General features: G+C 42.7%; 1 long non-coding RNA gene across 3 annotated transcripts, besides 1 other annotated feature; it reads left to right on the forward strand.

The window, feature by feature from the left end:
* The first annotated feature begins 758 nt into the window (after window positions 1–758).
* Window positions 759–26,036, forward strand: LOC105378291 (uncharacterized). Of its 3 annotated transcripts, none has more exons than XR_945937.3 (5): window positions 759–861; window positions 4,608–4,848; window positions 8,163–8,239; window positions 21,059–21,273; window positions 21,983–26,036. It is a non-coding gene; the product is annotated as an uncharacterized LOC105378291 (long non-coding RNA). The 3 variants fall into 3 exon arrangements; XR_945936.2 differs by lacking the exon at window positions 759–861 and adding an exon at window positions 3,958–4,045; XR_428742.4 differs by lacking the exon at window positions 759–861 and having other exon boundaries at window positions 4,675–4,848; window positions 21,062–21,273.
* Window positions 25,844–26,233: a silencer, noted in NCBI's record as "fragment chr10:48510376-48510765 (GRCh37/hg19 assembly coordinates)". NCBI's record gives its function as "represses an EF-1alpha promoter that drives an FKBP-Casp9 reporter gene in an ReSE screen in HepG2 liver carcinoma cells {active_cell/tissue: HepG2}" and the evidence as "EXISTENCE:reporter gene assay evidence [ECO:0000049][PMID:32094911]".

The following is a 27,066-nucleotide window of genomic DNA, read 5'->3' on the forward strand; positions in this document are numbered from 1 at the left end:
AAGGCAGAGGCTTAAAAGTCCAAATGTAACAAATAGAACTGTATTATCAAAAGGCACTCAATCAGTGGTTTGGTTTGGATCACTTTAAACAAACAGACTTATCCTGGACCAGAATCTGCAACTTCTTCTCTCCTGAAATGGTATGCACCTGGTTTGGGATCTGCTGTGATTATTAGTATCTCATAGAATTACTGAAGCCCTATGTGAGTGTAAAAAATGAAACTTTTTGAATGATATTCAAATAAAAATCATTTAAACACAGAGAATTCATAATTTTGTAACCACATTTACATATTATCAGTGTGATTTTATTTATGTTTATGTCTTAAAATGACTACTAGTCAGGATGTGTAGGTAAAATTCCAGTGACTTGATACAATGAAGGTTTATTTCTTTCTTGTGCTTCATATCCATCTCAGTTCAGCAAAGGGCCCTCTGCTCCACCAGGTCACTCAAGAACCCAGGCTGACAGAGGCTCCACAGCCTTGCAGTTGCCTCATCCAGAAAATGCAGCCTGTTCAGTCACTCAATGTGATGGTTTTAAAATTTTGTTCACAAATTATTTTATACTTCTCCCCTCAAAAATTGGAGACTGATCTTCTTCCCCTTAAGTGTGGACTGTTCTTAGCCACTTGCCTTTGATGAATAGAATGTGTCAGAAGCAACAACCTGTGTTTTCCAGGACCAGTCATAGAAGGCATTGTGACTTGGGCCTTATTATATCTTGGATAACTCATTCCTGGGGAAGCCAGCTACCATGTTTGAGGCTACTCAATGAGTCCTAGGAGAGGTCCATGTGGTATGGAGTGGAGGCCTCTTTCCAACAGCCAGTGAGGAACTGAGGCCTTGCACCAACAGCATGTAAGTGAGCAGTCATACAAGCAAATCCTCCAGCTCCACTCTGGAGATAACTGCAGCCCAGGGTACATCTGGGCTGTAACCTCAGGAGAGACCATGGAGCCAGAACCACCAAAGGAAGCCATTTCTGAATTCCTGATCCACAGAAACTGTGAAATAACAAATGTCTGTTGTCTTACACTCCTAAGTTTTCGGGCAATTTGTTATGTAGCTAAAAACAACCAATACCATGAGACAGAGGAAAAGACCACTGGAAGGTCTTGTTCTAGCAGTTTAGTGTTTTAGCCAGAAGAGGCACATTTCATTTCTGCTATCAGCCCTTCAGCCGGAATTGGCCAAGGAGTCATTTCAGATTGCTAGGGGCCACAGGCTCCTCCCACGCACTCAGGCAGAGAGGAGACCTAGATTGGGGCAGCTACTCAGAAGAGATTCAGATATTTAACCACTATTACAAAGCATGTAAGACATTAAAGAGAATCTCATACATTTGATCTGCATTTTTTATTAAGTGGAAAGTTTGATCAAATAGATTTCTAATGATGTATAAACATTAGGAAATGCTTAATTTATTGTATTCATAATTGTGAAAGATTATATTAGAAATATATGATTAGAGGAAATATTATCATCATGTAAAAATATTTATTATTACAATCTTAAGATTCATAAATTTCCTATCGAATCCAAGATGTACAAGTATAACCATTCTTCTTGCACAAAAGCCTTTCGAATGTTAAAAAATCTATCAGCCTAGTAAAGAGGTAGATGGACAGATGTTGTCCTGGTGAGCATAAAGAAGAAAAGGGTGGATTCCAAAAGACAAGACAAGATACTCCTTCATAGACAGATTCTAAGTGAAGCCATTACATTGAAGATGGTGGCATACCTGGAAAAGGTGAGCCAACAGGGGTTCACCAAGAACAAGCCGTGACAAACCAATCCCATTTCCTCTTTGGGAAGGCTTTACTATTAGTAAAATTTTAGCAGAACACATTCAAATACTATTTTTTTAATCTTGTGCTATGTGACATATTAATTTATAGCTAAAAATGATACTCAAGGAGCATCAGCCTGGTTAGAAATATTAAGATGTGTGTCCCACTTCTCTGTAACTGTTGCTCTCCTGTCTCACCAGATCCCTGCCCAGCCCATCTAGTCTCTTCTCTGATCCAACAGGAAACTCACATATCCTCTGTTCTCAAAGCACAGAGCCAGGGTAGGTTAAATTGTGTTGCAGTGACAATTTAACCTACCCCTAAGTAGGTTGCATAACACAAAACCAGTCAACATCACCTGGAATGGGGAAAAATTAATCTATTGGATCATCAAATCATGATTCAAAATGATCTTGTTAGATTGGGAAGTGGTCTAGTAGACATTTAAATAAAGATGGCTCAAGCCTGTGGCTCAAGCCTGTAATCCCAGCACTTTGGGAGGTCGAGGCAGGCAGATCACAAGGTCAGGAGATAGCGACCATCCTGGCTAACACGGTGAAACCCCGTCTCTACTAAAAATACAAAAAATTAGCCAGGCGTTGTGGCAGGCGCCTGTAATCCCAGCTACTCAGGGGGCTGAGGCAGGAGAATGGTGGGAACCCGGGAGGCAGAGCTTACAGTGAGCCGAGATCTCACCACTGCACTCCAGCCTGGGTGACAGAGCAAGACTCAGCCTCAAAAAAAAAAAAAAAAAAAGGAAAGAAAGTGTATTACTCAGAGCCCTTAGCTAATGGACAGGACTACTGTGTCTTTTCACCCATTTATTTCACAGCTTGCTTCAAGGCCAGTAGCCTCTTCCTCCTTCTCTGCAGTCTAAGCATAAGTGGCCAGGCCAAGGGCTCATCTTCTGTAGGCAGGCCTGGCCATCTTCTAATGTGTATGTGGGTGTGCATGCATACCTGTGTGTGTTCCAGTTTCTTTACCTTCAAATGAGTGAGTTAAGTCAGCCTTACATTAGTTCCCAGTTGTCTTCAATATAGAATGCAGAGAGCTGCGGTCACCCTTCAGCCTCAAAAATTCAAGATGAATTCTCTATTCCAGTTTAAATCAAAGAGGCCTGCCTTTTGTCAATCTTGGGATGCATGCCCAACCATTAATCAGCCTGTCACTTTTATTTACATCTCTTTTTGCCTATAAACCATGGGACAGAACCTGGAAGGGAAGAGGGGGTCAGTTTTAGACTTCAAATCCCAATAACTCCAGTTGGAATATAAACCCAGAGTGTGATGTGGTTGCTGAGAAAAGTAATGCTGCTTTGGTGACACTGCTAGAATCGTGCAACACCTAGAACAAGATCAGTGATAACACTTTATCTGACAACCATCAGACCAAGAGGTTCTGAATACTACACTAAAAGAAGGTGACATACAGAGTGGTTATCAAGACAGGGAGAAATTGGAGGTCACGTGAGGGGTGGTGGAGGGAACTGAGGCTATGGAACCGAGCAAGGAGGAAACATGCCAATGGCCTCAGGCATTTGAAGGGGCATGGGAGAGTGGGGGTGGGTAGAGCCAGTTCTATTAAGCATAGAGAATTGGACTTGAGAAGTGGCCCTGCCAGGAAGGTAGACAGGATCAGAACATGGAGGAATTTTACAAAGAGCTGTCTCAACATGGAATTTTCTGGCTCATAAGATAGTGAGACGCCATCGTGAAAGTGTCCAAAGAGAGGCTTGATAATCGTTTGTTAGGATTAATATCAAGGATCCTGAATTGGGATAAACTGGACTAATGGCCTCCAAGTTTCTTCCTCACCAAGACTCCGTAATCCTGAATCTGGCTAACACAAAGGTAATAGCTCAGAGGTTAGCCAGATGGAACTCTTTAGCAAATGAAGACAGCTTTTGTCTGTATGATCAACAGAGTTAATGTTCACCAATATTTGGTACTCTGCTACTTTCAGTTACACAGAGAATCATAAGGTATTCCTTGAATTTAGGTATGGCTAAGTAAATAGTTCTCACCAAAGAAACATGAATAGAAATAGGGCCACTCCTAGGCCCAAGCAATTAATTACAGCTTCTTGACCCTCCACCTCTTTCTTCATCCGCACCAGTTGGGGATTGCTTAGTGTTGAAATGGAAAGGCCAAAAGAAGGAAACAATCTGACTTGCTAAATATGGAGGAAAATTGCCTGGAGAATCACCCAGATCTGCAGTCTACTTTATGAGACCAAGATATCAACTTCTTGTGGTAAGCCACAAAGAGTTTTAGGTGATTTGTTACTGCAGCATAATTTAGCCTACCGTGGCTGCTATGCTGTGAGAACAAAGGTCATGTTAATTTCCTGTTGGGCCATAGAAGAGACTAGAGAAGATGAGCAGGGCTCTGAAGAGACAGATAAAAGGAGAGTCAGATCCCTGGGTCTGCCTATTTTCATGGAGGCTTGGAGCACTGTACATATTTCTCCAGTTCCCAGAGGCCATGACTAGGTCTCCTTCCCTGTTAAATGGGCAATACCTTACATGAAAGTTTGGGAACCAAGGTCACAGATCGTGAAATGAAGTTAAACTAGGCTGCTAGAGTTGCCACCTTGGCTCTGTGCAAAGATCAAAGGCTCTCTTTGGTGAGAAAAAGCCACCCTCATTGTGCCTGCCAACATTTTACATCTGGATCTACATATTATCTGCTGATTTTATAAACTACTTCCTTCCCAGAAATCCAAACTAGCCTTGTTTTATAGATGTGGAACTGCAGTCTCCTAGTTTCTGGATGAGCTTACACTGGGCCCTTTGGGCTTCTGTCTTCCCACTAGGCCATGCTATGGAGATTGCACAATGGACCTATTGCTTCAAAGGAGAGTCACACAACACTCCCCAGCCACTGTGTTGACAGCCCTGGGCTGGAGGAAAGGCAGCAGTCTTCACAGAGCTCACTTTACGGCTGGGCTCACCCTTCACCCCAAGACAGCTTTGATCACTGGGAAGTTTCCACAAACACAGAATGAATGAGGAAGAAGGTGATTATATTTTCGGTGTGATCCACGTGGACGAGAGGTGAGAGATGGAACGTCTGTACCATCAAGGTTTCTTTAGCTCCTTGACTTTACATGGCTGTCAGTTTCCCCTTAATGTATAGGTTTAAAGTAGTTGTATATTTTCTTGCTTTTTATCACTTTTCATCACGTAATGAAGATTTGAAGGTGTAAGCCACTTACGGCTTAATTTACTAGTGCAATTCGGTAGCAAACAAGTGCAGGAAGCAGCCTGCCTGCCTTCAAATTCCAATTCCCTCCTTTCTGCTTTCTATCTGTGTGGTTTCAGGCAAGTTACTTAGCCGCTCTGTGCTTTCGTTTCCTCATCAGTTAAATGGGTGTAATAATAATAATATCTATCTCATAAGGCTATGGTGGGATAACATGTATTAATATACGTGATGCATTTGGAAGTGTACTTGGCATAGGAAAATTTCAAGAAGTAGTAGCTATGTTTTATTAAGTTCTTGACTGGCAGCCAACCAAATTCCAGGAACTGTGGACACCTGCTGTGTGCTCAAGCCTAGGCTAAGCACTGTTGGGGAGTTTTAAAATAAGGTAATTAACAGGTCACTCCGAAAAGTCCTAGAATCTATCAGGAACCAAAACAAAAACAGACTAAGCAAAACTCTGAGTCATATTAGTAAGAAAGAAGTTAAGAATGGGCAATAGATAGGAAGCTAGCAGTGTCTGCACCAGTCACGGTGTCACTTGATCACCTCAAACCCCAGGGATGCTGGGAAATTGTTCTAAATGGCCAATGCGATGACAGCAGGCAGTTTCTGCTTCCAGCTCTAAGTGTTACTCTTTCTTCCTTATCTCTTCACTCTCCCCCTCCCAGAAAACAAGAGTGTGTTTCCATCTTGCAACCATTTAGGAAAGGCCACAGGAATTTCAGATCATGGTTCTGACAGTCCTGAGCCTCTGAAGCAGATCCTAGGCACATGAGGAAAAACAACAATATCCATCCTGTAATAGTAACATGTTTAGCTACTCTTGAATGCATTGCATTATTTGTGCCAAAACAGACTCTAACTAATATGGTAATCATGGCTTCTGTGAAAATGGACAAATGTTTCAAAAGTGAAGAAAAAGGAAATTGAGGATACTGGGAACTATAAGGCAGTCACAAACCTGGTAATACCTCTCTCCCTCCATCCATTCCAAAACTACTTCCAGAGTGTGGAACTTGTGCACAATATGGGCAACTTCATATAAACGGATACTGCTGATATTTCAACCTATTCTCTTGGAAGCCAAAATAATTAAAGGATGTGTCTACATATGATGATAACAGATGACAGATAGATAGATATAAATAAATAAATAAGCTAATTAAGAAGCAGCAATTATATCTATATATTTATTTATTTAAAGCAAGAAGAAGGGACTATGAAAAGAGAACAATCTGAGAACAATAAAGACTTCTTAGAGATATAATTGCCAAGATAGCAAGTCGTTAGACAGTCTAGAAAATAAACAGAATTCTCACACAATATGAAGCAAAAGAAAAACCAAAATATACATCCAAAATTGAATGAATTGAAGTTTCAGAAAGGGACAATGGAGAAGGTGTAGGGGAGAAAACTGACAAATAAATAATAAACAAAAAAAGTGAAAAAAGAAACTCAAAAAGGAAAAAAAGGCAAGTGGCCAATGAACAGATCAGGTTATAAAAGAAATGTAAATTATACTGACCATGAGATATTAGTTTTATCCATCAAATTGGCAAAATTTAAAAAGAATAACATCTGATATAGTTTAAGTGGTGGGTGAACACAATTTCAAGGACAATCGGTAAGGGTGAGTACTGGTACAATATTTCTGAAGGATATTGTAAAAATCTGTAGGATAATATGTATTCATTTTAATGTGGCAATTCTACTTCTGGGCACTTCATTAGGAAATTATTGGGTGATCATACAAATGTGTACCTATCTGAAGGTTTATGAAATGATATTTTTAGTAGCAGAAACTAGAAATGCTGCATGTTCCTCAGTAAAGAGCCAGGTTTCTAGGGAGAGCTACATCCTACAATACTACCAAGTAGGTTTCAGCATGCTTCATGATTTATTGCGTGCAAAATTCAAGTGATGAAATAGTGCATATTGTATGATCTCATTTGGATAAATATATGTTGTATTTGACATATTTAATTTAAATATTTGGAATGATATACAGTTTCATTGTGAAGTTGCTATCACAAACTTCTAGAGGTTTATAAGGAACATTTTCTTTTCAGTTTTCAGATTTGTTAGTTATCTTCTTTATAGTTAGCATGCATTAACCATTCAATCAGAAAAAATAAACACAGCTATTTACATTTTGGTGAGGGAGGGAGAATAAGGAATGCCTCTCAATTGCAGCTGTGATGGCACAGACAGCTTGGAGCAGAAGTGCTCATGTTAATGCTCACCATCACTGGCCATCAGAGAAATGCAAATCAAAACCACAATGAGATACCATCTCACACCAGTTAGAATGGCGATCATTAAAAAGTCAGGAAACAACAGGTGCTGGAGAGGATGTGGAGAAATAGGAACACTTTTACACAGTTGGTGGGACTGTAAACTAGTTCGACCCTTGTGGAAGTCAGTGTGGCGATTCCTCAGGGATCTAGAACTAGAAATACCATTTGACCCAGCCATCCCATTACTGGGTATATACCCAAAGGATTATAAATCATGCTGCTATAAAGACACATGCACACGTATGTTTATTGCGGCATTATTCACAATAGCAAAGACTTGGAACCAACCCAAATGTCCAACAATGATAGACTGGATTAAGAAAATGTGGCACATATACACCATGGGATAGTACGCAGCCATAAAAATGATGAGTTCATGTCCTTTGTAGGGACATGGATGAAATTGGAAATCATCTTTCTCAGTAAACTATTGCAAGGACAAAAAACCAAATACCGCATGTTCTCACTCATAGGTGGGAATTGAACGATGAGAACACATGGACACAGGAAAGGGAACATCACACTCTGGGGACTGTTGTGGGGTGGGGGGAGGGGGGAGGGACAGCATTGGGAGATATACCTAATGCTAAGTGACGAGTTAATGGGTGCAGCACACCAGCATGGCACATGTATACATATGTAACTAACCTGCACATTGTGCACATGTACCCTAAAACTTAAAGTATAATAAAATAAAATAAAATAAAATAAAAAAGTTATGTAGCCAGATAGTTCACTGGATGTCTCCTTAGTGTTAGATCAAGACCAGCCCTTTCAAACCCAAGTCACCACTTTGGAAGCTTTCCTTTCATGTTAACTACAAGCATACCTTATTTTCGTGCTCTTTACTTTATTGCACTTTGCAGGTGTTGCATGTTTTTACAAATTGAAGATCTGTGACAACCCTGGGTCAAGCAAGTCTATCAGTGCCATTCTTCCAACAGTAAGTGCTCGCTTCGTGTCTCTGTGTCACATTTTGGTAATTCTCACAATATTTTGAACATTTTCATAATTATTGCATCTGTTTTGGTGATCTGTGGTCAGTGATCTTTGATGTTACCATTGTAATTGTTTTGAGGCACCAGGAACCATGCCCACACAAGACGGCAAACTCCATTGATAAATGGTGTGTTCTGACTGCTCCACCAACTGGCCATTCCCCTGTCTATTTCTTTCTCCTCAGGCCTCTTTATTCCCTGAAACAACAATATTAAAATTAGGCCAATTAATAACCCTACAATGAACTCTAAGTGTTCAGGTGAAAGGAAGAGTCACACGTCTCTCACTTTCAATCAAAAGCTAGAAATGATTAAGCTTACTGAGGAAGGCATGTTGAAAACCAAAATAGGCCAAATGTTAGGTCTCTTGTGCCAAATAGTTAGCCAAGCTGTGAATGCCAAGCAAAAGTTCTTGAAGGAAATTAAAAGTGCTACTCCAGTAAACACATGAATGATAAGAAAGCAAAACAGTCTGATTTCTGATATGGAGAAAGTTTTAGTGGTCTGGATAGATAATCAAACCAGCCACAACATTCCCTTAAGTCAAAGCATAACCCAGAGAAAGGCCCAGGTTTTCTTTAATTCTACAAAGTCTGAGAGAGATGAGGAAGCTGCAAAATAAATGTTTTGAGGCTAGCAGAGGTTGGTTCTTCAGGTTTAAAAGAAGCCATCTTCATAACATAAAGTGCAAGGTAAAGTAGCAAGTGCTGATGGAGAAGCTGCAGCCAGTTTTCCAGAAGATCTAGCTAAGATCATTGATGAAGGTGGCTACACTAAACAACAGATATTTTTTTTTTTTTGAGATGGAGTCTCGATCTGTCACCCAGGCTGGAGTGCAGTGGCATGATCTCAGCTCACTGCAACCCCCGCCTCCCAGGTTCAAGGGATTCTCCTGCCTCAGCCTCCTGAGTAGCTGGGATTACAGGTGTGAGCCACCATGCCCAGCTAATTTTTGTACTTTTAGCAGAGACGGGGTTTCACCATGTTAGTCAGGCTGGTCTCGAACTCCTGACCTCATGATCCACCCGCCTCGGCCCCCCAGAGTGCTGGGATTACAGACATGAGTCACTGCGCCCGGCCACAACAGATTTTTAATGTACACAAAACAGCCTTCTATTGGAAGAAGACGTCATCTAAAACTTTCATAGGTAGAGAGAAGTCAATGCCTGGCTTCAAAGCTTCAAAGGTCAGGCTGACTCTCTTGTTAGGGACTAATGCAGCTGGTGACATGAAATTTAAGACAATGCTCATTGATCATTCCAAAAATACTAAAGGCCTTAAGAATTATGCTAAATCTCTACCTGTGTTCTATGTATGGAATAATAAAAGTCTAGATGACAGCACATCTATTTACAGCATGGTTTACTGAATATTTGTTGTCCACTTTTGAGACCTACTGCTCAGAAAAAAGGTTTCTTTCCAAATATTACTGCTCATTGGCAATGTACCTGGTCACCCAAGAGCTCTGATGGAGGTATACAAAGAGATAAATGTTATTTTCATGCCTGCTAAAACAACATCCTTTCTGCAGCCCAAGAATCGAGAAGTAATTTCAACTTTCAAGTCTTACTACTTAAGAAATACATTTTGTCAGGCCATTGCTTCCATAGTTGATTATTACTCTGATAGGTCTGGGAAAAATACATTGAAAACCTTCTGAAAGGATTCATCATCGTAGATGCCACTAAGAGAATTCATCATGCATGGGAGGAGGTCAAAATATCAACATTAATGGGAATTTGGAAGAAGTTGATCCCAAACCTTATGGATAACTTTGAAAGATTCAAGATTTCGGTAGGGAAAGTAACTGCAGATGTGGTGGAAATAGCAAGAGACCTACAATTAGAAGCAGAGCCTGAATATGTGGCTGAATTGCTGATTTTTGGTGATTAAACTCAAAAGAAGGAGCAGTTGCTTACGGATGAGCAAAGAAACCGATTTCTTGAAATGCAGTCTACTCCTAGTGAAGTAGCTGTGAATATCATTGGAATGACAACAAAGGATTTAGAATATTACATAAACTTATTTGATAAATCAGGGTTTGTGAGGATGGACTTCAAATCTGAAAGAAGTTCTGTGTGCAAGATGCTATCCAACAGCACTGCATGCTACAGAGAAATCTTTCACTGAAACAAGGCTCAATTGACGCTAAAAACTTCACTGATGTGTTATCTTAAGAAATTGATACAGCCACCTCAACCTTCAGCAACCACCAACCTGATCAGTCAGCAGCCATCAACATCGAGGAAAGACCCTCCATCAGCAAAAAGATAATGATTCATTGAAGGCTCAAATGATTGTTAACATTTTTAGCAGCAAAGTATTTTTAAATTAAGGTATGTTTTTTAGACAGTGCACACTTAGTAGACTACAGTATACTGTAAATTATAACTTTTATATGTACTGGGACACAAAAAACCTGTGTGATTTGTGATATAGTTCAGCTGTGTCTCTTCCCAAATGTCATCTTGAATTGTAGCTCCCATAATCCCCACGTTTCATGTGAGGGACCCGGTGGGAAGTAATTGAATCATGGGGTGGGGGATGGGGTTTTCCCATGCTGTTCTCATGATAGTGAATAAGTCTCATGAGATCTGATGGTTTTATAAAGGATAGCTCCCCTGGACACATTCTCTTTCCTGTTGACATGTAAGATGTGCCTTTGTTCCACCTTTGCCTTCCACCATGATTGTGAGGCCTCCTCAGCCATGTGGAGCTGTGAGTCCATTAAACTTCTTTTTCTTTATAAATTACCCAGTCTTGGGTATTCCTTCATAGCAGTATGAAAATGGATGAATACAACTTGCCTTATTGAGATATTCACTCTATTGCAGTGGTGTGGAACCAAACCTGTAGTATCTCCAAGGTGTGCCTATATGTTTGGGTAATGACCCTGTGTAGGTGCAAGTTCAACTCATTCATTTGCTAAGAGGTACTTTTTATAATGGGTTTATCTTGGAGTGTTCCTCAGGAAGTCACATAACTTACATCTGCTCAATTTTGCTAAGCCTTTTATGACTAACATGAGCATTTAGTAACATCTATTTTAAATTTTCCAGCCCAGAATTATTGCTATAACATTAAAATCTTGGGCCTTGAACACATTCTGTCTATTGATAAAATAGATTTCAATTTATGTCTTCATACATTAATTCTCCAAATTTTTTTTAGTGCTGTGCAGTTGTTGTTTTTTACTATGTTAGGAACTGGAGCTATGATGGTGTTAAGGTTGGTGTTCACCCAAAATTCATATGTTGATATCCTAACACACAGAACCTCAGAGTGTGACCTTATTTGGAGATAGAGACTTTACAGAGGTGTGATGAGGTAATTAGAATGGGCCCTAATCTAATAGGAGGAGTGGTGTCCTTATAAGAAGGGGAAATTTGGAGACAGCCATACAGTTGAGAGAAGTCCACGTGAATATGCCAATGGCCATCCAGCAAAGGAGAGTGGCCTAGAACCAGCCCTGATGACACTGTGATTTCAGACTTCCAGCCTCCAGAATTTCAAGCCAATGCATTTTGTTCTCTAAGCCACTCAGCTTGCAGCACTTTGTTACAGCAGCCCCTGCAGACCAATACAAACAGTGAGCAAGTCAGGAATGAGCTTGGCCCTCCAGAAGCCTCTTGTGCAGTGGACAGAGGTCAGCCCTGGATGCTGGGCAGGGGTGGGACAGGCAGCATGACCTGCTGTCAGGCTGGTGTCCTGGTTAAGCAGCTGTCCAGCTCTCTGCAGAGCATGGAATCTGGGATTCACTCTGACTAAGCATTTTTCTGTCATCCTTCAAATGGAAAGGCAAGGAACACCAGCTTCACTGCAAGTATCAGGGAGTCAAACCTTGAAAACATCATCACCTCACATTTAAAGTTGAGAAAAAATTATTCATTGAGAATTTGGCGAAGGATTAATCCAAAGCAGCATGGACCTCGTTCTCAGAGCCCCTCCCATGGAGCTCTTTTCATGAAAGTGTGCTTCCTGCTTAAAGTGCAGACACATGGAAAGCAAACTCAAAGGCAGCTGGGAAACCCACCGTTGCTAACTCTGTGAGGATATTGGTAAAGGACGCTGTCCCTGGCCCTATACAGTGACAGGGCTGTGGGTCTCAAGTATCAGCAGCATAAAGTGCAGTATGCAGTCGTTACAGTTTGTTTATATCAAGGACACTGTAATTCATGTCACAGGATCCTGTTTTCCTTTTCTGGTGGGTTGCTTGGAGTCCCAGAAACACTTTAAGATCCTTTTGTGTGTGGGATCTTAGAAAGCATATTTCATGCCTCATCTTACTATTTCTACTCTCTTAGCCCCACTGACTCTTTTTTAACCCATATCAATTTTCATAAGCCCCCTCCAATAATTATTTAAATGAAGAGGGGCATGAATATTTGAAATTAAATAGGTAACTTAATTAACTCTAGCAGCCACCAAAAGATACTTTATTCAGTTGTTTTAAAATGAATTAACACCTTGGAAAATATTGTTATTATATTTATTTATATTTAATATTTATTTTTATTTATTTTATTTAGTGCTTATACTTAATGTCTATATTTAATGTTCAGGAAAAAAAAAAGCCCAGGATGGACTTCTCTTTCCAGAAATATCCCCACTAGCTTTTGATGCAGAGCAAAAACTAGGAGTGGCTCCAGGTGCCTCCGAGAGCAGACTGTGGACCCAGGAAGCAGAACCAGGCTCTGGTCAAGGGCTTTCCTGAGCCCAAAGCACGGTCATCTGGCAAAGTGTTCTCACCCCTAGACCCAAAAGTTTCATCTCATTATAACATCAAGCTCTTTAAAGTTCAGGATCTTGTCATCTAAGTCAGGCACAGAGACCTAAAAACTGAAAAAAGAAATTATTTGCCCCTCATTCCTAATTCAGAATACAATCATGAGACAGAGATAGAAGAATAACTAAATAGACACTTCCACCCAGAAGGAGATGAAAGGGAGGTACATTACAACTACTGAAATCTACCTGGGCTCCAGCAGAACCCCCTGCTCTGGGATAAGAGAATGTCCCTGATTAGAAACTGGTTCTATTCCCTAGAACTGACTCCATAATTCATTGTCCTCAAAAGCTTTGGGATCCACTATTTGATATCTTAATTTTTCTATAAGAAATGGCCATGTTTGCAGTCAAGTAACAAGTTTCATGATCTCAGTCCCTGCCACAGCAGTGAGGTCGCTTAGATCTGCTGAGACAAATGAAACAACAGATACAATACAAATTATCACTTTTTTCTTTTTTCTTTTCTTTCTCTTTCTCTCTTTCTTTCTTTCTTTTTTTTTTTTTTTTTTTTTTTTGATGAGGGCTCACTCTTTTGCCAAGGCTGGAGTGCAGTGGCACTATCTCAGTTCAGGGCAGCCTTCCCCTCCCAGGTTCAAATGATTCTCATGCCTCCCCCTCCTGAGTAGCTGGGATTACAGGCGTCTGCCACCAAGCCTGTGTATTTTTTGTATTTTTAGTAGAGACAGGTTGGCCATTTTGGCCAGGCTGGTCTCAAACTCCTAACCTCAGGTGATCTGACCACCTCAGCCTCCCAGAGTGCTGGAATTACAGGTGTGAGCCACCGCTTCCAGCCACAAATAATATATTTTTAAATATAATGCTGAGCTGGCACAGAAGTTAGAAATCCACAGAATGATTTGCAAATATCAGGGGTCAATCCAGGTTCTGTGAGACTGTAAATGCACAAAATGTGCCTTGTTAACAAAAATACCAAATTTTAAAAAGCAAAATTAGGCTCAGCAGATTAGAAAGAGCTCATGTAAATGAAGCATTCTGAAAAACTCATGTTTCATTAGCTTCACAGTACATCCGCTTGTGGAAAGCAATAAACCTTGAAATGAAGTATATCAAGTGTATCAGTTGAGATGACCATAGATATTGATAAGCTTTAGGCATTCTTAAACACGCATACTGAAATAGCTAAGATAATCGCTAATAGAATAGACAATTATATTTGTAAAACACGTAGAGGGATAATAGTGGAATCTGATTTTAAAGCACTCCATCCAAAATAAGGCACAAAAGGAAAGGACAAAAAAATTGCTGTGAACTAGTAATAAAGAGATGTTATGAACAATGTCATAGCAACAGATGATGAGAAAGATACATATCTAAAAAAACCTTACTAAAATTATTTCAGGAAGATGTAGGAGGCCTCATTAGTTGTTAAAATTCTTTCGCAAAGGAAACCCCAGACCCAAGTGGCCTTACAGTTGATTTCTATCAAACATCAAAGATCAAATAGTTTTATCTTACACACACTCTTCCAAAGAATAGAAAAAGCGAAAGCACATCCTAACTCATTGTATGAGGCTATCACATGTCTGATACTAAGAACAGATGAGTAACTGCAAGAAAGTAAAGCTACAGATTAAGTTTCTTTATAAATAAAGGTGAAGACATCTAAACAAAACTGCCATAAAGAACACACAAAGGAAAATGTATAATCATACATCGTAATCACTTTGAGATTATCCCAGGAATACAAAGTTGTTTAATTTTGAAAATTAATTAGTGTAACACATCACATCAACAGATCGAAGGCACAAAGTCCATGCTCAGGTTTACAGATGCAGAGATCTGTTTGACAAAATTCAACATCCACTCATGACTTAAAACAAAACAAAACTTGTAACAAAACAAGAATGGGAGGAACTTCCTTAACTTAATAAAGAGCACCTAACAAAACCTACAGCAAATCACATGTAAAGATGTTTAAGACATTCCCTTTAAGATCATAAAATGGCAAGAATGACTGCTTTTCTCTTTCCTGCTCAGTAATGTATTAAAGGGCTTAACCAGTGCAGTAAGAAGAAAACAGAAATAAAGAGAGATTGGAAAGCAATAAACAAAGCGTCATTATTTGTAGATGTTAAGATTTTCTATATAGAAAACCCCAAAGAACCCACAGATAATTTTTTAGAACTAATAGACAAATTTACTAGTTGATTTTTTTTTAATTCAAAACACGAAAGTCACATTGCATTTCTGAACATCAGCAACTTGAATTTACAAAATATGATTTTTTAAGGTTTGATACTGTGTTGAAAATGACACAGAAAAGCAACAGATGATGAAGACATTATTCAGGATGACAGTCACTTGCAGGGAGTAGGTGCAGTATAATTGAGGAAGGGGACATTATGGGTTTCTAGTACATTTGAAAAGGTCTGTTTCTTAAGCCAGGTGGTGGCTTTATGATGTCTATTGGATTTTTCTTGTTTCAGCTGTACATATACTCTTTTTGGGCTCTTTTTATATTATATTACTTTGCAATTCTTATTATTAAAAACAGTTTAAATTCTTTTTATGTATGATATTGTTTGAAATTATTTTATGCTATTTTTAAAAAGCAGAGCACCATATCTCTGGTATTATTACCATAATGTTAAAATATGTATATACAGTGGGAAGTGGCAGGGGGGTATAAATGACAAATTAAGAAGCTGGAAGGATTTAAGTTGGAGGATGATATAAAAAATCCTTAGGGCTTAAATTCCACGTTAAAGAATTTTTACTCTGTTCTAAAGCAATAACTATATACTCCATCAGGAAACAGTATGTGTTCACATAATCAAGGGATTGGGTGTATGGCACCTGTGTTTTAGGAAGGTAATTGGCATAATGCTGGGATGACTATTTTAGAATTTTAGAAATGGCTTTCTCTGCAGCTTGGCTTTCTCTGGTGATTTTCCGTAGCTAAAGACTCCTCTCCTTGGCTTCCCCAAACTTTTCAAGTGTAAAGTGTCAGGGCCCCTCTGTTGTGAGATGTCCTGTCACATGGACTCAGCCAGAGCTCCCCCGTGTTCTATGGAAAAGGCTAACGAGATGAAGTGGACCTAAAAGGGCAACACTTGTTTTATAGCCTACAGCACTCAGGGACCGAGCCTGTGCCAACACCATCCCCAACATAGATGAGCTCTGACCTTTAGGGTGCTTGCAGCCACGTGGCTGTAGCTCGTCCCTCTGTCCCTGCCCCTGCCCTGAGTCTGGCCTTTTTGGCAGCTCCTTCTTTTCTCTGCCCTGCACTTGCTCTTTGAATGGTCCCCTGGTTTTGTCCCCTGGCATTGTGTCTCAGACACAGTTCTCACTCCCCCTCCATCCTGATCCTGTCTGGCCATCCTTCTTTCTGGAAGAAACTCAAACCCCTGGTCCCCAGACTGGGGCCACTGTTGTAACCACCATTCCCTGACCAGGCCTGCTCAAGCCTATCCATGGTCTCAGCTCCCCCATCATTAAGATAAAGGCTTTGATTCTGATTAGTATTTGCTTAGCTCCTTAGATTAGAGTGGAAATAAGTATTCTCAGGGTTTGGCCTTGATCTGGAAAAACTGTGGGTTGTAACCATTAATGGATTGTGAAATCATTTTTGTGGGTCATAACCAGGGTTATTTTAAAGAAATAGAATAGAATAGCAAAGATCAAATGGTCTCCCACATCGTAAAGGTAATGTATTAGCCCGTTTTGTTTCTGCTGACAAAGACATACCTGAGACTGGGAAGAAAAAGGGGTTTAATTGGACTTACAGTTCCACATGGCCAGGGAAGCCTCAGAATCATGGTGGGAGGTGAAAGGCAATTCTTACACGGCAGCAGCAAGAAAAAATGATGAGGAAGCAAACGCGGAAACCCCTGATGAAGCCATCAGATCTCGTGACTTATTCACTCTCACAGGAATAGCACAGGAAAGACCAGCCCCATGATTCAATTACCTCCCCCCGGGTCCCTCCCACAACACATGGGAATTCTGGGATATACAATTCAACTTGAGATTTGGGTGGGGGCACCAGCCAAACCATATCAGGTAAGTACTGTTTTGTTCTGTTTTTTTTTTTTTTTAACTCACATCTCATTATTATTATTATTGTTATCATTATTATTATTGTTTTTGAGACAGGGTCTCCCTCGGTTGCCCAGGCTTTAGTCCAGTGGCATGATCTTGACTCACTGCAACCTCTGTCTCCCAGGTTCAGGCGATTGTCCTGCCTCAGCCTCCCAAGTAGCTGGGATTACAGGCACGCACCACCACACCTGGCTAATTTTTACATGTTTATTAGAGAGGGTTTCACCATGTTGACCAGGCTGGTCTCAAACTTCTGACCTCAGGTGATCCACCTGCCTCGATCTCCGAAAGTGCCGGGATTACAGTCATGAGCCACCACACCCGGCCTTTGTTAGTTATCTTTATGTACTGAGTGTTGAGATTGTTATGGGCTGGGTTGTACTCCCCTCCAAATTCATAGTGGAAGCCCTGCCGCCCAGAACCTCAGAATGGGACCGTATTTGGAGGCAAGGTCTTTAAAGAGGTGATGAAGTTAAAATGAGGTCCTTGGAGTGGATGCTAATCAATATGACTGGTGTCCTTATAAGAAGAGGAGACTGGGACACAGACATGGACACACAGAGGAAAGACCATGTGAGGAAGTGAGAAGATGGGATCTACAAGCCAAGCAGAGAGGCTTTGGGAAAAAACCAACTCTGCTGGCACCTTGATCTTGGACTTCTCATTTCCAGAACTGGGATAATTAATTTTTTGTTGTTTTCAGCAACCAAGTCTGTGGCAGTTTGTTATGACAGCCCTAGCTGACTAATACAGACATACAATATAATTCTTATGGGGTGAATTCAGTCAAAAACATTAGCTATTCACTGGCTGGCCTTTCAAATTTTAGACCTCATTAATGGTTGAAAAGAGCAAAGTCCTATTCTGCAGTTTGTAAGGGAAGCTCTCTTGGGGATATTTGGAACTTAGCAACATTTCCTATGATGCAGTGCTCTCATGCAGTGGGTGCCCAAGCAAAATCAAGCTTCAAAGATCTAGAGCTACAGTTCTCATCATGAAGACAGAAAAACACAAGCATGTGGGAACCAGCTACAGGATCCACGGACCAAACAGCACATTGTAGCAAAGGGTTAAAAAAGAACTGGACATGTGAAATGTCCAGGGCCAGGCCCTGGGTCTCCCTAACACTGGATCCCTTGTGCGATGAGATAACATGAGTGAGGTAGTGGATGTTTCTGGATCCTGCTCCACCTCTTTCCATCAATCCACACTGAGCACCATCCCAACATAAATGAGGGCGAGCCCGGCTGCATTAGAGCAGGCCCTGCTCTTGGCTGGGGCGACGGCACGCTCACCACACAGTATTCCAAAGGTGAGTCCATAAACTCTGTCCCCAGAGTGCCATTTGATGATGACCTCACCTTGGAAGGTCTATTTTGAGTATCCAAGAGTCTCCCTTGCACAGTCGTTGTATAACCTCCTGCGCTTGCTGCTAAAGAGTTTTCTGTCTCCAAAAATAATCTCCAAATGATGGTTAACACGACCCTGGCATAATTCATCCTGTACAAATAAGTGAAAGGGAGCTAATGCCCAACTCCTGGCACAGCCACAGAGCGGGCGTTGGAAGTGGAGGTGGCCATGACTTCAATCCTTGGCAGAGGGTGCAGATTGGATGGGGAGCCAGGCGAGAGGCAAGAACACCATGCCCAAGGCGCCTGGCATGGGCATTTCCTTCTGGACGGGGCCAGGGAACAGTTTGAGGCTCCTCCACTATTCCACATAGAGCTTTGAGTGTCTGTCACCTGAACTGGCCACACTACCATCCCTGAATGTCACCACGACTTTACTTTTTAAAGAGCTTCTTAATGGGTAGCTGAGCACCAGGTTGCAGTCACCACATTGTATTCCCTGACCCTTAATTCTGAGAATAGCATCTCTCATGTCCAACTTAGTCCTATCATTGACCACAGAGAGATACCAAGTATCATTAGTCAAGGTTCTACCCTAGATACAGTTTTATTGGAGGATGATTTTTAGGAGTAGAACTGCATTACCTTGTGCAAAGAGAGGGATGTTGTGGGCCCCTGGCTTTCTTCACATGTTCCTTCTCCTACTCATTCAGGGTCTGGTTTATCCGAAACATTTGAACCTGCAAAGAGCTGGAGGATGGACAAGGTTACTGAACATCTTCAGTGTCTCATAAATCTTTGCAACAGTCCTGGAAGTGATCGTTAGTATACTCACTTTGCAGACGAGGAGACTGAGTCCTGGAGGTCAAATAACTTGTTCTACGTCACCACACCGTAAAGGGGACAAATCTTCACAGTTTACTTGTTGGCCATGGTCTATATGACCTTGGCATTCTCCCTCATGCTGAAGCTGGAAAAGAGAATCAGTTCAGAGGGAGATAGGAATGATGGGGGCTAGCCCAATGATGACCGAAGGTGCCAAGAAAGCTTCCAGGGCAGCCCAAAGTCAGGCCCTGGAGATGGTTCAGAGCCAACCCCAGGTTCATAAACCTCTGAACTGCAGCACATTCTGACTTTAAAGGATTGATCCTTCCTTAGACTTTGGAGACGTTGGCCCATGAGGGAGGCAGAGCCATGTGCTGGAAAGCTCAGGGTCTGGGGTCGGGTCCAGCCTCATGATTTACTAGCTGGGAGACTCTGGGCATGTTGCTGGACCCCTCTGTGCATGGGAGGATCCATCTCCTCATGCAGAAAATGAACACGGTGTTCTCTATCTGTTACCGTTGTTGAGAGACCCTGCCTTGTGCTGGGCCACTCTTCTTCCTCATGCCACCCGTGTAGACAGTGGCATGCTCACACTGAGCTGCTCACTCACCACTCACTGCACTTGGAGGTGCTGAAGCCAAGTGGAAAATGTGGGCTTTCCCCACAGAGCTTTCCTTGTTTGAGTGAACTGAATCTTTATTTTCTTTTACAAGCAAAGAGCTTTTCATTAATTTGTGCCAGACCATTTAATATATTCTACAGTGTTCTTGTTTCACTTAATTTTCTGGATTTCCAAGAAAGCTTTAGGATTTGGTTTGGTGAGAGGCCTTGAAGGGACTCAAAGAAATAAGAAAAATTAGAAACAATGTATTCACAACAAGACTTCAGTTTAAGGATTTCACCAAGGAATAAGTACAATGAGATGTATGTGGGGATTTTCCTCAGAAGTCACGATCTTGGTTTTTTCTAGACAATATAAGATTGATAAGAGCTGAAGCCAGAAATTCAACCATAAAAAAAATTTTTCTGTTTGTTATATTATAAATCATCAATCAGCAGTTAAAGCCCTGGATAGCAGGGAAAGAGATGCTTTTGAAGAAACTTTCACTGTAACCCACTTAAAAGTCACCTGGGAATGCTGCAACCTGGTGGGAAGGGTGTTTGCACTGAGAGCCAAGTTCATGTTTCTGGATTAGGTGAGAGTATTGATGCACTGGCAGCTCTGGTGATTTGTCTGAGGTTCAGAGATAGTGAGAGGATCTAGCAGACCCAGCAGATTCCAAAAACCTTCATGGCAGAGAGGGAGGGAGAAAGATCAGAAGAAACCAATGGGATCCTGCTGGGGTCGGGGGAGGGGGAGAGGGGACTTAGCTTTCCTATGGTAGGCATCTCCCAGGGCTGCCATCTCCCAGGGCTGCTTCCAAGATTACAGTGACAGAGCACAGCACAGAGAAGAGCTTTCCTGCACCAGGCTCAGTGGGGGCAGGGCAGTGGGATCTGAGACCAGACCCTGCAGATGTGTGGCCTCCAGCAAGCTTCTGTCCTCTCTGAGCATTGGTTTCCTCAGCCACAAAATGGGACTAAGAATAGACCCTGTCTTAGAGGAGCTGTGTTAAGATCTGACACTTGCTGGGTGACCCATCAGAGATAAAAATCCACACATGTGATTAGTAATATGATGCCCACTGAGAATGTTAGCATGCAACACAAATAAATATTATTGTTATCATTTGCATGAAGTAGGTGTATATGCTGGAGCAGCTGTACTTAAGTCCAGAAATAAGAAGATATTTGATCTGAGGACTCAGGAGAGAGCATGGCTGCTGCATAGATGGTGCCTTCCATCGCTTGACATAGGGAAGCCCAGCCAAAGCCTGTGTCTTGGGCAGCCGGGGAGCTCTCAGGATGGCTTGAAATCTCCCACATGGCCTGGGCCTGTTCTCCTTCCCCTCCAGGTAGGGTTATCAGATAAATTAAAGAAATACATAATTAAATTAGAATTTCAGAGATGTAACAAATACTTTTTTAACATAAGTATAGCTTAGGCAATATTTGGGATATACTTATACTAAACATTTATTTGTCATTTATCCAAAATTCAAATGCAATGAACATTCTATCTTTTTATTTGCTAAATGTGGAAACCCTTCCTCCAGTTGGCCACTTGCCACTTAACTGACTTGTTATGATATTTTTGTTATAATTTTTTTCTGATTATGAAAATAATGCACTCTTATTACAGAAAATCTTTAAAAATACTAATAAATAAGAAAGAAATAATAACTCATATGTAATACCATTAACTGATAATTGAAAGGCTGCAGTATTTGAAAATACTTAAAAATTATGGCCTAATTCTTGAATTTTACATGATTGAGATGCTACTTTATGTGTAGGCTTATATGTTTCTTTGGTTTAGCATTATACCATGATCTCCCTGTCATTAAATTTTTTTCTCCGCTGGATTCTGTCATCTGGCACAGCAGCTTTCTCTTTTTACTGAAAAAGTTGGTGGTTTTCAATATGTGTATCTCTGTGCATAAAACTCTGTCCACACCTCTTCAGTTGATCTCTCAAGTGGCTTTTAAAATTATTCCTATATATATATAATGAATAATCTGAAAGTGATGACATTTAATATCTCATGGTGACTTTTTTCTACAGCTCTCCTGGGTGCAGTCAAAGCTTCACTCCCTACACCCTACTGAACTATCAGCTGACTGATTCCCACTTGTCCATGCCCCAGGACCCCACAGAAGCTCCACATGCTTCCACAAGCTGATGCACCAGTTCCAAGAGGAGGAAGAAAAGCTGGCACTCAGCCTTTATTTCTCCCCAAACACCACAGTCATTCAATTCTGAAAAAAAAAAAAAAAAAAAAACCCATTGCTTTGAAAAACATAAAATGAGATCTATCAAACAGCATCTTGTATTTTAAAGTGGAAAGAATGGACTTTGGAATCATCTTTGGCAGCTAATAGGCTGGGACACGCAGAGAAAGAGCTTGCCTGCCTCTGCAGACATTCCTTGGACGAGTGGTTCTAAATCCCAGCTACACACTCAAATAGCTGCAGGAGGTTTAAAAACTGTCAAATCTCCCAGCCCCTGCCCAGCCCAGTCAATATTTATCTCAGGAGGAGGAGCCCTAAAACCAGTGTCTTTTCACAGAGCTCCCTACATGACTTTGATGTGTGGCCAGGTGATATCTCCTGAGTTCGGAGACACTGATGCTATCACTCACACCTAGTCAAATGAGAGGAGTCGGGGATGACAGAAGAATGCAGGCAACTTACCTACCTGAAGCTGGGGCCTCAAGGTCACCATGCCCTTGAGTGAGCCCTGTATGGGTCTACCTTGTGTCTGATGGTTCTCAGCAGGCACAGCTTCTCTTCAGGGCTTCTGCCGACATCTTCCCTGCATGTGGAAAATGGCCTGGGGTCCCCTTAGACTCAGCTCATGTCCTCCCCTTTGCTCAGGTTCCCTCTGAGTCCCGGTACCCGCCCATGCTGCAGACCTCCTCATGACTCCTTCCTCCCTGAGGCCTGGCCATCTGCACACCCCCATCCTATCCTGTCAGCTTGTTTTTTGTCTCTTTGGTGACCAGACATGAACCCCTCAAGGCTGTTCCCTCCACATCCCCAGCGCTCAGTTTCAGGCCAGCCCAGGGCAGGATGCACCTCGTGCAGACCAAGGGAAAGAGCCAGCAGCTGCTTCACATGAGCCTGTCCTCTGCACCTGAAGAGAATCTTTGGAAGGCCAGCGCCCCCACTTGTCCTGAAGGTGGAGGGGCTGTTCCCTCTAGCCCACACCTGTCATTCTAGGACTAACTTTCACTTTTTGGAAGCCAGAGCCACTCCCGACCATTCAGGGCCTTTCAGCATTCGGAAGGGACAGTGACTCCTCCTTAGATACCACATGTAGGACAGGAGGGAAGTTCAAGAGTGGTGTCAAGGGCCAGAGACAGGGAAGCTGGGGGGTCTGAAAGAAGCTTCCAGGAGATGTCTTCACTGCAAAATACCATACACCAAGGGGCTACAGGCTAAAACAAGACATGTATTTCTCACAGTTCTGGAGGTTGGGTGTTGGGGATTAAGGTGCCAGCCAGCATGGTGGGTCCCTGGTGAGGACTCTCTTCCTGGCTCACAGGTAGCCGACTTCTCACTGTGTCCTCACATGTGGGAAAGAAAGCTCTGGTCTCTTCATCCCCTCGTAAGGACTAATCCCATCATGGAGGCACCACCTTCATGACCCCATCTAACCGTAATTACCTTCTAAAGGCACCACCTCCCATAATATCACCCTGGGGCTTGGGGCTTCAACATATGGATTTGGGGGAACACAGACATTCAGTCCATAGCAAGGCACATGGGGAAGTTGGAGCATGAGAGCAGAGGAGACACCCACACATCTCAGGAGAGCAGTCACGTGTTCGGAGGATGTCAAGCCACGCTGAAGGCCCCTAGCCATGCTGGGGAGAGCATGCTCTAGCCATGGAGTTGAAGATGAGGTGGGAGTTGCCCTTGAGACCTTTCATCTAGGACCTCCCAAGTTCCATGAAGAGACAAGAGAAAACAGTAAGGGCACTGTATTCAAGGGAATGAGGGGTGATGAGTCCCTCTTGGGTTCCTCAGTAATGTCTTCCAGGACAGTCCATTGATTACACCTCTGCACCAGTCAGCGGACTTTTAGTGAGCCCTGGTAATGTGCCAGATGCTGTGCTGTGAGTGAGATGTGCACATTTCCTTCCTCGTGGAGCTCACACTCTCATGGGGCAGACACACAATCACACAATCGCACACATGTGCAGTGTGCAGAGCCTCCCTACAGGCTGGCCCGTGCCTTCCAGCTGCATTCACCTGATAGGAGGGCCAGCTGGAGACCAGAGGCTGGAGGCAGCCAGGGAGGAATGTGGGCACTGGTTTTCTGACTCCCTGCCCGCTGCATTCTCTGCAGCAGGCCCAGTTCCCGCCCAGCCCCCATGCTGCACAAGGTTCTGAGAATCACTCCTGCCCCCACTCCATCAGGTCCCACTTAAGGTAGCTCCACTGGCTTAGAGGACCACCCCACCCCAGGGGCTTCACCTAAACCAGTCACACTTTGTAGACAGTCCCCTCATTGAACTCTGATCAAATTACCCAATTTAAATATACCATCTGTTTCCCGCAGGGACTCTGACTGACCCAGTGACCTAGTCTAGGAGGTTAGGGAGTCTTCTGAGAAAAGGATGCTTGAGCTGAACTCTGAAGGATTAAATTCTCACTGCTTTTAATAGTAGGATCCAACATGTGTGTTTAGTCAGTAGTGGGGGTCCTGGTAAGCTTGAGCCTGCAGTGAGGGGTGCTGCAGGGGACACAGGCGAACCCATGAAGCCCCTCACCCCACCTCTTAGCCATGCCTGGCCAGGGAGGGCATCCCTAGACCCAGGCTCAGCTATAAGAAAGAGCAAGAACCAACAAACATTTCTTAAGCACCACTCCGGGGCCAGGCCGTGTGCTGGGCCTGAACGCTTCTCATAGGTGACGTGGAGACCTGGGGGTGGCTGCCATCTGGTGCTCTGGGTTTTGAGGGGTGCTCTCTGAAAGACCAAGCTGAGCAGCAGGAGGCCCAGAAATGGGGGCTCCCATTAGACATTGTGGCCAGTCTCACAGCACAGCCAGAAGGGCCAGCACTGCAGGGAGGGGAGCAGAGGGGAGGATGTGCTCTTTGGCCAGGCGAAAGCCTGGTCCCCAGGACTGAGGTCCTAGAGAATCAGGGATGCAGGAGAATGATGAAGAGAGAGGTCTCAAGGCCAAAGACAATAAGGTGAACTGTCAGAAAGTCTGGGAGAAAGATGATTTGAGGGTGACCCGAGAGGCTTGCTGTCAAATGTCCCAAGATCGGACAGTCGAGCAAGGCAGCATGATGGAAGGAATCTAGCCCTGTCCATCCACATAAGCCCAATTGCAAGTGCACTGTTGGAGTCATGAAAAATGTAATGTCTAGTTCTGGTGTGAGCAGGGCCACTCTCTTCCAAAGATACTCCCATGGGAACAGAAAAAAAGGGTAGAAGCCCGAAGAGCCATAAAAGGCAGCAAGGTCAGGAAGCCACCAGAATGTCAGTGAGATGTTTAATTTTGAAAATCAATTAATGTAATGTGTCATATCAACAGATCGAAGGGAGAAAGTCCATGCTCAGGTTTATAGATGCAAAGATCTGTTTGATAAAATTCAACATCCACTCATGACTTAATAAAGAAACAAAACCTATGGCAAATCACATGTAAAAGTGTTTAAGATATTCCCTTTAATATCAGAAAAGTGGCAAGAATGCCTTCTTTTATCTTTTCAATGCTGTAATGCATTAAAGGGCTTAGGCAGTGCAATAAGAAGAAAAAAGAAATAAAAGAGAGATTGGAAAGCAATAATCAAAGCTGTCATTATTTGAGGCAGATAGATAATTGAAAGTACCTCTGATTGGTTGCAGCAGACAATCAGATGTTTGCATAGAGTAAGTTTGTAACTTCAGCCTCTGGTTGCTTTCCAAAACAATTAGACTGATTGCCGGCCACCACTTCATTTACATGGGGTGAACACCAAGTGGCCAATGGGAAACCTCTAGGGGATATTTGGACCCCGGAAGATACTGTAACCGAGGCCCTTGAGCTGCTGCTCTGGCCCACTCCCACCCTGTGGCATGTACTTTCATTTTCAATAAATTTCTACTTTTGCTGCTTCAGTCTTTCCTTGCTTTGCTGTGTGTTTTGTTCAATTCTTTGTTCAAAACACCAAGAACCTAGACAACTTGCAGTCGATACCCTCTACAGTTAACAAGCTGGGGAATGCTCCTTCCAGGGTCCCAAGGTCCTTGCCTGGCTGAGCTTCTGGTGGCTGCCAGCATTCCTCGGCTTGTGGCCGCATCACTCCATTCTCCATCTCCATGGTCACATCACTTCTTTTCTGTCTGTTTTCAGCCTCCCTCTGCCTCTCTTATAAAGACATTTGTGATGCATTTAGGGCATACCTGGTTACTACAGGATAATCCCCCTTATCAAACTCCTTAACCTAATCACATCTGGAATACATTGTTTTTGCCTAGAAATTCATATTCACAGGTTGCAGGGGTTAGGACCTTCTCAGGCACCAAATGATAAGAAATCATCTTTCTGAGTAACCCACATGGAGTGGCCGCTGGGTCCTAGAGGCGCCGTTGGCCTGACAGCAGAACTCAGGGACTCTTAATGCCCTTGCAAAATGAATGCATTTGCATGTGGGAAGGTCTCTTGGAGTCTGCCTTAGCTCCTCTCACACAAGGTAGCAGACCTGGCCACCTTCCTCACTTGGACAGAGAGCCCTGGGGAGCTCTCAAAAAGTAGCCAGGCCCTAGATCAATTCAGTCAGGACCAGTGGGGGTGGGGTCCCTGCACCAATAGGTTGTTTAACCTTCCCAGGTGATTCTGCTGTTCAGGCAGGGCTGGGAACCATGAACCAGGTGGACATTAATGTCCCTTGCAGGTGAGACATTTGACAAATAAGCAGAAATGGAGCCAGGGTCTCCACTCTGGCTCCACATCAGCATCCCCCAGGGTAGGGACATTGAAAAGACAGGTTTCTGCTCCCTCCCCAAGGCAGGTGATCTAATTGGTCTGGGTGTGACCTGGACATCAGGACCTTCAAATTTTCCCAGTGATTTCCACGTGCACCCAGGTTGAGAACGCTGCGGCCCATAAAAGGGAGCCTTACACTGTCACTGCTATTGCAAAGGACAATTA

This window comes from Homo sapiens, chromosome 10 (assembly GCF_000001405.40).
Source record: "Homo sapiens chromosome 10, GRCh38.p14 Primary Assembly".
Taxonomy (NCBI): domain Eukaryota; kingdom Metazoa; phylum Chordata; class Mammalia; order Primates; family Hominidae; genus Homo; species Homo sapiens.